Source organism: Homo sapiens, chromosome 12, assembly GCF_000001405.40.
Source record: "Homo sapiens chromosome 12, GRCh38.p14 Primary Assembly".
In the NCBI taxonomy this organism is placed as follows: domain Eukaryota; kingdom Metazoa; phylum Chordata; class Mammalia; order Primates; family Hominidae; genus Homo; species Homo sapiens.
Genome location: NC_000012.12, coordinates 67460129 through 67472364, shown reverse-complemented (window position 1 = coordinate 67472364; position 12236 = coordinate 67460129). Strand labels below are relative to the sequence as shown.

Genomic DNA, 12236 nt, shown 5'->3' with positions numbered 1-12236 from the left:
ATTCCCAAAAGGAAAGAGTACAATGGGCATCTTAATGCTATGGGCTTTTCAGGTGTGGCCTCTTTCTTCAGATTTATTGATAACGGTCTCCAGAGAAAATATCCTGGCAAAAGCCCCCTTTTAACAAATATTTCTCAATTTGGCCAGCAGTCAGTTCTCTAAAGTAGCTGTAGCCTGCAGGCCCTATAATCCAAAAAGAGGCTTCAATTTTGTTACAATGCAGAGTTTGAAGGCAGGCACAATGCCACGCTTGAGTTGAGAAAGTGTGAAGGCTGTGGGGGCTACAATCTGAAGGGTTTGCTGGAAATGTGTGTAGGTGAAGACTGTATCTTAAATGCCTGGCAGTTCTTGGCAAGAGTCAAGCCAGCCCCATAAGAGGAGGATCCCTCTGGGCCTCTCTCCAGCACAATCTGAGGCAACAGGCACATACTGTGGTCCCGGCTATAACACACTGGTAGAGTTTCCTTTCCTTGCCCCAGGGGAATGCAGAAGACCCCAGCAATCCTCGGGCACCTGCAGGCTGCCAGTGTGCATGCACACACATGTGTGCACATACACCAGCCTGTAGTGTGCACTGACTCAGGTTGGTAAAAGCAGTAATCCTTGCTCTCCTCTGTGCTGGGGACCTCTCCTCCCTTCTCACTGGGCCCACAGGTTGAGGAGATTATTATGCTTATTTTGATTATGCTCGTTTCTGGTGAGTCAGTCTTCTCTGGAAAGAAGCGCAATTAATTTTCCCTTCAGAAATATAACATTGGTCTTCAGTCAGAGTGCTTTCACGCATGTCTCCAGAATTGACTTGTTTTCATAGTTGCATTACTTGGGGTCTCAGTTTCTTCATCTGTGGAGTGGGATTGCAGTGACCTACTCACAGAATTGTTACAAAGACTGAATGAGAAGAAACAGTATATGTGATAGTGCTTTGGAAGCTGAAATGGACTTAACATCAAATAACAGTCATTAATAAGATCTATTCATCAATAGCCAAGTTTACTCACTGATATCAGAAGTGGATTCTGAGAATGTGTACTCTTAGCCATTTTCTAGCTGTGTGAACTTCTAAACAAGTTAATTAACTTCTTAGAGGCTTAATTTTCTTATTTATAGAATTAGGAAAATAATACCTATTTCTACAAGGCTGTTGTAGGAATTTTATTTTATTTATGTATTTATTTATGTATTTATTTATGTATGTATGTATTTATTTATTTATTTATTTATTTATTTATTTATTTATTGAGACAGACTCTCACTCTGTCTCCCAGGCTGGAGTGCAGTGGTGCAATTTCGGCTCACTGCAACCTCTGCCCTCCTAGGTTCAAATGATGCTTCTGCCTTAGCCTCCCAGGTAGCTGGGACTAGAAGTGCGCACTACCACGCCTGGCTAATTTTTGTATTTTTAATAGAGATGGGGTTTTGCCATGTTGGCCAGGCTGGTCTTGAACTCCTGACCTCAGGTGATCCACCCACCTCGGCCTCCCAAAGTGCTGGGATTACAAGCATGAGCCACTGTGCTCGGCCTGTTGCAGGAATTTTAAATAAGCCATATTACACTTAGCATAGTGCTGACACATAGTAGATGTTTTAAAATGGTAGTTATAGCTGTTGTGTTAACAAATGTTGCATACATTTGTAGAAATAGAATGCTTCTTTCTTCCCAAACTTGCTAAAGTGTTCTTTCTTGCTCAAGAACTAAATGCCTACCTCAGTTACTGTTAAAAGTGTGCATAGGTGTGGTTCACTAGACGGATGCCCAGGACATGACAATAAATAAGCCATGGACTGCACTTTGAATGCATTGCTTGAATTCATATGAGGATTATTATTTTAATGCTCATTATTTCAATGCCCTTTTCTAGCTTCCTTTTATTCCTTTGCATTATTAAAAATGCCTTATTAAAAATGCAAAGGGATAAAAGAAAGCTAAAAAACAAAGCAAATCAAAGCAACTAAGTTTAACTATTATGCAGTTTGGTAAATTTCCTATCAGTTTAGTTAAGGGTTGGCATCTTTATTAACTAATGAGAATGGGAAAAAACAACATATTGAGGCCTACCAAGTAATAAATCATAACTTTCACATCTTAATTTAATGTAATAAAAAATAAGATAGTGCTCAGAGCCACATTCTGGTCTGTTTAGAGAGGGGGAAAGGAGGAAAAGCAAGATGATGGAGTAAGAGTTTCCATCATTGCCCCCCCAACCCACCCCCGCAAGGACACTGAGTTAATAACTATCTACAGAGAAAAAACCCCTTCATGAGAACCAAAAATCAGGTGAGCACTCATAGTATCTGGTTTTAACTTCATATCTCTGAAAGAAGCACTGAAGAGATAGAAAAAACAGTCCTGAATTGCTGACACTACCCCTCCCCCACCCCTGGCTGCAGCAGGGTGGTGCAGAGTGTCTCTGGGAGCTGGGGGAGGGAGAACACAGCAATTGTGAGGCACTCAACTCAGGGCTGTTCTGTTAGAGCAAAAAGGAAAACCAGACCAAACTCAGCCAATGCCTGCCAACGGAAGGAGCATTTTAACCAGGCCTAGCTAGAGGGGAATCACTGATCTCAGCAGTCTGAACTGAGTGCCTGCAAACCTCACCACAGAAGGCTACAGCACCCTGTGTCTCCAAGTAAACATGAAAGGCAGTCTAGGCCGTAAGGTCTACAACTCTTAGGAGAGACCTAATGCTGAACTAGGCCCAGAGGCAGTGGACTCGGGGTGCATACTGAGACATCAGCTGGGGCAGCCAAGGGAGTGTGGCATCACCCCTCCCCTAATCCCATACTACTCAGTTCGGGGCTCCAAAAGAGACTCCTTCCTCTGCTTGAAGAGAAGAGAGGAAAGAGTAGGGGAGACTGTCTTGCATCTTAGATACCAGCTCAGCTACAGCAGGATAGGGCACCAGACAGAGCTGTGAGGCCCCTGTTCCAGGCCCTCGCTCGTGGAGAACATTTCTAGACACATCCTGGGTCAGAAGGGAACCTGCTGTCTTGAAGGAAAGACTCAGTCCTGGCAGCATCAGTCACCTGCTAACTGAAGAGCCCTTGGACCCTGAACAACCAGTAGTGATACCCAAGTACTACATCGAGGACCTTGGACGAGTCTCTGAGACATGCTGGCTTAGCTCTGAGACAGCATGGTCACAGAGGGGTAGAGCACCAAGCAGGCCCTCAGGGTCCCTGATTCCAGGACTTGGCCCTTTGCTGGCATTTTTGGACCTGCCCTGGGCCAGAGGGGAGCCCACTGCCCTGAAGGGTGAGTCACAGGCCAGGCAGCATTCACCACAAGCTGATTTAAGAGACCTTGGGCCTTAAGGGAACATGGGCAGTAGTCTGGCAGTACTCTTCGTGGTTTGGGGTAGGGGTGACTCTGGGATGAGGCCCCTCTGCCTGTGGAAAGGGAAGGGAAGAGTAGGAAGGGCTACATCTTGTGGTTTGAGTGCCAGCTCAGCTGCAACATAATAGATCACCAGGTAGACTTCTAAAGTTTTTGACTCCAGTCCCTGACCCCTGGACAGTACCTCTGGACCCACCCAGGGCTTGGGGGACCTCACCACTCTAAAGGGAAGGACACAAGCCTGACTGGTTTTGCCGCCTCCTGATTATAGATTTCCAGGGCCTTGAGTACACATAGGCAGTAGCCAGGTGTGGTCACAGCAGGCCTTGGGCAAGACCCAGTGCTGTGCTGCCTTCAGGTCTGACCCAGTGTGGTCATAGTGGTTGTGGCCACAGGGGTGCTTGTGTCACTCCACCCCCAGCTTTAGGTGGCTCAGAACAGAGAAAGAGAGAGACTCTGTTTGGGAGAAAGTAAGGGAAGAGAACAAGAGTCTTTGCCTGGTAATCCAGAGGATTCTCCCGTATCTTGTCCAAGACCATCAAGGTGGTACTTCTACTAGTCTGCAAGAACTGCAGTGTTACTGGGCTTGGGGTGTCACCTAAAGTACATACAGCTTAGATCACAACACCCAAGTCCTTTCAAATATCTGGAAAGTCTTCCCAAGAAGGATTGTTTACAAATAAGCCCAGACAGTGAAGGCTACTATAAATACCTAACTCTTCAATGCCTAGATACCAAAGAACATCTACTAGCATAAACACCATCCAGGAAAACATGACCTCACCAAATGAACTAAATAAGGCATCAGGGATCAATCCTGGAGAAACAGAGATAGTGATGTTTCAGACAGAGAATTCAAATTAGCTGTGCTGGCCAGGTGTGGGGTCTCACGCCTATAATCTCAGCACTTTGGGAAGCTGAAGTGTTAGCATCACTTGAGCCCAGGAGTTTGAAGGCAGCCTGGGCAACATAGTGAGACCTCCATTTCTATATAATTAAAAATTTTTAAATAAAAATGATCGCTATATTGAGGAAACTCAAAGAAATTCAACACAGAGAAGGAATTCAGGATTCTATCAGATAAATTTAACAAAGAGATTTAAATAATTAAAAAGAATCACGCAGAAATTCTGGAGCTGAAAAATGCAATTGGCATACTGAAGAATGCATCAGAGTTCTTTAATAGCAAAATGGATCAAGCAGAATAAATAATTAGTGAGCTTAAAGACAGGCTATTTGAAAATAAAAAGAGGAGACAAAAGAAAAAATGGATGAAAAACAATGAAACACACCTACAGGATCTAGAAAATTGCCTCAGAAGGGCAAATTTAAGAGTTGTTGGCCTTAAACAGGAGGTAGAGAAAGAGACAAGGGTAGAAAGTTTATTCAAAGAGATAATAATAGAGAACTTCCCAAACCTAGGGAAAAATATAAATATCCAAGTACAAGAGGGTTATGGAACACCAAGCAGATTTCACCCAAAGAAGACTACCTCAAGGCATTTAATAATCAAACTCCCAAAGGTTAAGGATAAAGAAAGGATCCTAAAAGCAGCAAGAGAATAGAAACAAATAACTTACAATGGAGCTTTGATACATCTGGCAGCAGACTTTTCAGCGGAAATCTTACAGGCCAGGAGAGAGTAGCATGACATATTTAAAGTGACGAAGGAAAAAAAAAACAAACAACTTTTACCCTGTAACAGTATATCTGGCAAAAATATCCCTCAAACATCAAGGAGAAATAGACTTTCCCAGACAACAGCTGAGGCATTCCATCAATACCAGATCTGTTCTGCAAGAAATGCTAAAGGGAGTAAATCAATCAGAAAGAAAAGGACATTGATGAGCAATAAATAATCACCTGAAGATACAAAACTCACTAGTAATAGTAAGTACACAAAAAAACACAGAATATTATAACACTGTAACTGTGGTATGTAAACTACTCTTATCCTAAGTAGAAAGACTAAATGATGAGCCAATCAAAAATAATAACTACAAAACTTGTCAAGACAGAGTCAGTACAATTAGATACAAATAGAAACAACAAAAAGTGGGGGGATGGAGTTAAGGCATAGAATTTTTATTAGTTTTCTTTTCACTTGTTTATGCAAATAGTGTTAAATTCTTATCAGGTTAAAATAACGAGTTATAAGATAGTATTTGCAAGCCTCATGGTAACCCCAAGTCAGAAAACACACCATGGACACACAAAAATTAAAAAGCAAGAAATTAAATCATATCACCAGAAAAAGCACTTTCACTAAAGGAAGACAGGAAGGAAAGAAAAAAGGAAGATAAGACCACAAAACAAGAAAACAAATAACAAAATGGCAGGAGTAAGTCCTTACTTATCATAGTAACATTGAGTGTAAATGGACTAAACTCTCCAATCAGAAGACAGACTGAAAAAATCAAGACCCACTGATCTGTTGCCTACAAGAAACACACTTCACCCATAATGATACACACAGACTGAAAATAAATGGATGGAAAATGATATTCCACACCAGTGGAAACCAAAAAAGAGCAGGAGTTGCTATACACATATCAGAAAAAATAGATTTCAAGACAAAAACTATAAAAAGACACAAAGAAGGTCACTATATAATGATAAAGGGGTCAATTCAGCAAGAGGATAAAACAATTTTAAATATATATGCACCCAACAATGAAGCACCCTGATATATAAAGAAAATAGTATTAGAGCTAAAGAGAGATAGGCCAGAATACAATAATAGCTGGAGACTTTAATACCTCACTTCCAGCATTGGACACAGCTTCCAGACAAAAAATCAACAAAGAACCATGTTACTTAATGTGCACTACAGACCAAATGGACCTCATAGATATTTACGGAACATGTCATCCAAGAGCTGCAGAATACACATGCTTTTCCTCAGCACATGGATCATTCTAAAGGGTAGACCATATGTTACATCACAAAACAAGTCTTAAAACATTTAAAAAAATGGAAATAATATAAAGCATCTTCTCTGACCACGATGGAATAAAATTGGAAATTAATAACAAGAGGAATTTTGGAAATTCTACAAATACATAAAAATTAAACAATATGCTCCTGAATGACCAGTGGATCAATGAAGAAATTATGAAGAAAATTAAAAAATTTCTTGAAACAAATGATAATGGAAGCACAACATGCCTAGCTAGAGCAATCACACAATAGGAAAATATAAAAGGCATCGAAATTGAGAAGAAAGAAATCAGTTTATCCTGGTTTGCAGATGATATGATCTTCTATTTGGAAAAACCTAAAGTCTCTGCAAGAAAATGATTAGAACTGATAAACATATTCAGCAAAGTTGGAGGACAAAAAAATCAACATACAAAAATCAGTAGCATTTTTATATACCAACAGTGATCAAGGTGAAAAATATTTTTTTAAGTAATCCCATTTACAATAGCCACATATCAAATTAAACACCTAGGAATTAATCAAAGATGTGAAAGATCTCTATAATGACAAACATGCCAAGAACATACACTGGGGAAAAGACAGTCTCTTCAATAAATGGTGCTGGGAAAACTGGATATCCATAGCAGAAGAATGAAGCTAGACCCCTATCTCTTACCGTATACAAAAATCAAATCAAAACGGATTAAAGACTTGAATCTAGACCTCAAACTATGAAAATACTACAGGAAAACGTTGGGGAAAATCTCCAGGACTTTGGTCTGGGCAAAAATGTCTTGAGCAATATCCCACAAGCACCGGCAACCAAAGCAAAAATGGACAGATGAGATCACATCAGGTTAAAAAGCTTCTGCACAGCAACGGATACAGTCAACCAAGTGAAGAGACAACCCACAGAATGGGAGAAAATATTTTCAAACTGCCCATCTGACAAGGAAATAATAACTAGAATATATAAAGAGGTCAAACAACTCTATAGGAAAAAAGCTAATAATTCGATTCAAAAATGGGCAAAATCTGTGAATAGACATTTCTCAAAAGAAGACATACAAATGGCAAACAGGTATATGGAAAGGCACTCAGCATGACTGAACATCAGAGAAATGCAAATCAAAATTACAGTGAGATATCATCTCACCTGGGTTAAAATGGCTTTTAGACAAAAGAAGTAATAAATGCTGGTGAGGATGTGGAGAAAAGGGAACTCTTGTACACTGTTGGTGAGAGTGTAAATTAGTACAATCATTATGGAGAATGATTTGGAGATTCCTTTAAAAACTAAAAATTGAACTACTATGTGATTCAGCAATCCCACTGCTGGGTATATACCAAAGGAAAGGAAATCAGTATATCCAAGAGATATCACACTCCTATGTTTGTTGCAACACTGTTTACAATAGCTAAGATTTGTAAGCAACCTAAGTGGCCATCAACAGATGAGTGGATAAAGAAATGTGGTACTTATACACAATGGAGTACTATTCAGCCAAAAAAGATCCAGTTATTTGCAACAACATGATGGAACTGGAGATCATTATGTTAAGTGAAATGGGGCAGGCACAGAAAGACAAACATTGCATGTTCTCACTTATTTGTGGGATAAAAATCAAAACAATTGAACTCATGAAGATGGAGGGTAGAAGGATGGTTACCAGAGGCTGGGAAGGGTAGTAGGGGGTTGTGGGGGAGGTGGGGATGATTAATGGGTACCAAAAAAATGGAAAGAATGAATATGCCTCCTATTTGATAGCATAACAGGGTGACTATAGTCAATAATTACATATTTTAAAATAAAGAGTGTAATTGGATTGTTTGTAACTCAAAGGATAAATGCTTGAGGGGATGGATACCCTATTCTCCATGATGTGCTTATTTCACATTTCATTGCCTGTATCAAAACATTTAAATATATACACCTACCATGTACCCACAAAAAGTAAAAATAAAAAATTTTAACTTTTTTAAAAGGGGTGGAGAGAAGAGAGAGGTCAGAAAAAAAATGGAATATGTTAAGGGAGATAAGGTAAAAGCAAAATCCCCATTGTAAGAACTTGTGAAATATAGCCATATTACAGATTTTAACCACAAGCTTAAGCAAGAATATCTTCTCTTGGCACGCTCTCCACAGGAATAACTTGAGGCAGGCATTTCCCAGCTATACAACTACACAAGTACCTAGATGAAAGGAGTTATGTACATTTCTGCTGTCACTGAGTACCCAAAATAAGCTCATGGATCTTGGAACCAGAGTGAGCCATATCTGGGCTCACGCTGCATTCAATTCTATTCCTCAAAGAAAAGGGCTCTGGTTTTAACGTTAATAGCAGAAGGAAAGGAGAGCAGGAATTAGAGTTGCAATTGGGTTAACAAAAATTCTGCATGTCTCATCATCCTCTATAGTAAGGGTCTCCCTCTCTCTCTCTCTTTCTCTCTCTCTCTCTCTCTCTCTCTCTCACACACACACACACAAAGGTAATACTCTCTCTTGATAAGACTGCAGGATTGTCCTATTTATGTGCCATTTTTGTAAGCCCAGGTAACATAGCAACATAGGGACAGAACTTGTGGGACAGTTGGTCATCAGCTATAATTTTATCAAAGGGTGAGATGCTATCAAGCTTTGTCCCAGTACCTAGTGACCCAATGCCCAGTTCAAGGGTTTCTATTTTAACAACGCTGAATAGAGCTTTCTTACTTGACACATTGCAAACAAACAAGTTGAGAAGACAAAAAAAAAAAAAAAAAAGCACTGGGGAGACTACAAATAGATTTCACCTCCCAGGCCAACACTGATCACTCTGAATCCTGTGTTGAGAATGGTTCTGAGACCATTTCCAAGTTTGGAAGTGGTGTAATCTATAAGAAATGCCTATAGAGGGCCCTGAAAGCAGCAGCAGTGGGACACAGATCATGTATCTGTCATCTTTAAGCTACAGATGTATTAGACATACATAAAACACACACAAAATCACAAAAGTGTAACATCGGTGTTACTGTCACTTAAGAATTGATGCCATTTGTAGTATGTTGTTCTTTGGTTATCAGTTGCTCCTTGAACCACACACCTGCCCTGCATCCAGAAAGGTATTGCCTATAGTATTTTCTCACATTAAGCCTGCATTAATTTGTTTCTGTACTATCTGGTTTGGCTGATGTTGCTATAATTTTTTTAATATCTGGGGTCTTTGTATTTGCATAATCTTGCCTGAATTATACTGCTGGGTTGGAGAAACATCTCTGGCTAACTAGAACAACCAATAACTTGTTTAAAATTTTCACATACTTTGCATTTGTTATCTTTCATTTACCATCACTTGGCTCAGTTTATTCTGTGTAATCTCAACCCACTAAGCTATGCCAACCTGTGCCCATTCCTGTGCTTGCTGTGTATGCATCCATTTCTCAAGGTAGCAGTTTGGCACCTGCTCCCTTAAAATAAGTCCAAGGTCTTGGAGTCCTTTAAGATCACAAACTTGCGAAGACAACTGCCAAGTCAATGACCTCTCTAACTTTGGAACATTGGCCACCTGGCTCTGATAATCACAGCAGCCATTCAGGCCACTGATTCCTCTCTGTGTCTCACTGTTCCAGCTCTGCCTCTGAGGAGGGGCCACCCCATAACGTGGGGCAGGGAAAATGAACTTCTAGGCAAATGGCCAATAGATGTCCTTAATAAACTGACCCATTTCAAAGCTTTCCCCTCTTAATTAAAATTACTGCTACCTCTGCAGAAAAATCCCCTTTGGACCTTCAAGTTCTTTTTAGACTCTTGCTTTCCTTTGGGTGGATAATGGACTACAGCTTCAGCTTCCCTTTAGGGCTCTTACAAGTGGAGGGAGACAAAAACGAGACAGGAAAAGAATTTGATAGGTGGTGAAAATGCCTCCCCTTGTGCCAAAATTGTGCCTGCCTTCATCTACTGTGCCTCTGGTCTCTGGCACCAACCATATCCTGACCTGTACACATAGGAGGGGGCAGAAAGCCTTTGTAACAGCAGGTAGAAAGCAGATGGAGCTGTCCCTTTATATAGGTATAGCTACTTAGGTACTCTCTTTCAGCCTCTTTCTGGGCATTCTATTATTTAAAAAAAAAAAAGACAGCAACCTTGAGATGAGCCATCACTGCTACCACAAGCAAAGGCAAATAACTCAGAGAACTTTATGAACATAAAATAGATTATCAAGTAAAACTTAAGAATACAACCAATACATCTCTAGCCATTTGGTGGGTATCCTAGAAGGCAGCTCCTGGACTCTTACATAAGAGAGAGACTGACAAGCCATTGTCGGAGTTGAGAGATGGTTAGCTAATCTCATACAGAGAAAAAAATAAGTATGTTTCTTATGTTAAATAACTTGCCTTATTGCCTGCCATGGGGGAAAAATAATATTTTGTGTTTCTTTCATTTTTTAGCCACTTTCGAGAAGTACACAGTCTTAAATTCCCATGATTGGGTTAAACCATTATAAATAGGCCTGAGAAAATCCACTCTGACTTTTAGACCCCAGCACTTACATTCAGAAATTTCTTTTCTCCTTTCTAAAAATTTTTTAAATTGCTTTTTCAGTTTCTGAGTTAGAGTTTCTCTTTTACATAATTTCTAGGACAAGTGATGGAATGTTTGTAGGAAAAAGAAGAATGCAAGATTGTTTTGTCAAACTGAACAGAAGCCCTAGAATAAGTACCTACTGGTGACCTTAGAGCCAGTCAATAATCCCAGGCACTAGGGAGGAGCAAATATAAATTTGATAATCTTAGAAAATGCTGTTCTAAAAACTGATCTATTTAAATATGTTTGCAGTATGCTTATTCATGCTTAGGTCATGCATCTTATTCAAGTCACAAGCAAATAAATATATAATGCTCATCAGATCTCCAAGAGATGGGTCTGTATAGCACTTGCCCTCTCAGAGGAGGTAGTTGTAGGCTTGTTGGAAGAATAATTTGCCTTAAATTATGCAAGTAGTTGATTGAACACGTTGTTCCTATGAGAAAGGATAAAATAAAAATACTCGCTTATTGTAACCTGGTTCTTTAAGGGAAGAGCGTTATCTGCAAAAGACACAACTATCAAAAAAGAATTCATATCCTGAAACTTGAATTTTAATAAAAAGGGAGTATGCCACTTCTCTAAATTGGGAATGAACATTATTTTTCTTTTTTCTTTCTTTTCTTTTTTTCTTTTTATTTTGAGACAGGGTCTCACTCTGTCATCCACGTTGGAGTACAGTGGTGTGATCTCTGCTCACTGCAACCCCCACCTCCTGAGCTCAAGTGATTCTCAAGCCTCAGCATCCCGAGTAGCTGGGATTACAGGTACACACCAGCATGCCTGGCTAATTTTTGTATTTTTTGTAGAGATAGGGTTTTGCCATGTTGACCAGGCTTGTCTCGAACTCCTGACCTCAAGTGATCTGCCTGTCTTGGCCTCTCAAAGTGCTGGAATTACAGGAATGAGCCACCGCGCCCAGCCCATGATATTTCTTTTTAGGGAGTACACTTTTACTGCTTCCACTTGATAATCGTCTAGGAAACTCTGCGGTTGACATTCATATGCATGGACTGTGTGCATAGGTAGAATTCCGTCCTTTATTTCTAAATCCAAGGTCTCAGTGACAGCATTTAATCCTTCTGAGTGTTAGGCACCAGGTTATTGATTTATTTGGCTTAAGCTGTGTTTGTATTACAGCTGAATGCATAGATTGTAAGCTCCCTACAGGCAAAATATAATTCACATTGTACAATTTAGAGGTGTTATTTTTGATAATGATAATTATATGTCTTCAATATTCCATCAAAAGCTTTGAAAGAGTTGCCATAATATGGTATTAAATCTTCAAAAGACTTGGCTTTCTTTTAATTTCAACAAATATTAGTAGAAAAATCCTCAAGGCCAGACAACGGGACAAGCCCCTAATTTAGTAATAAAGACAGGAAAATATTTATTGGGGGTGATATAAAA

General features: G+C 39.8%; 1 long non-coding RNA gene across 1 annotated transcript in view, besides 1 other annotated feature; it reads right to left on the bottom strand.

Annotated features, from left to right (window-relative positions):
* Positions 1-12236, bottom strand: part of LOC105369812 (uncharacterized) — an 86311-nt gene that overhangs the window by 8330 nt on the left and 65745 nt on the right. The gene's annotated exons all lie outside the window — the stretch shown is intronic.
* Positions 2552-3052: an enhancer, noted in NCBI's record as "H3K27ac hESC enhancer chr12:67863093-67863593 (GRCh37/hg19 assembly coordinates)". NCBI's record gives its function as "activates a minimal SCP1, AML or CMV promoter by ChIP-STARR-seq in naive H9 embryonic stem cells {active_cell/tissue: H9 hESC(naive)}" and the evidence as "EXISTENCE:reporter gene assay evidence [ECO:0000049][PMID:30033119]".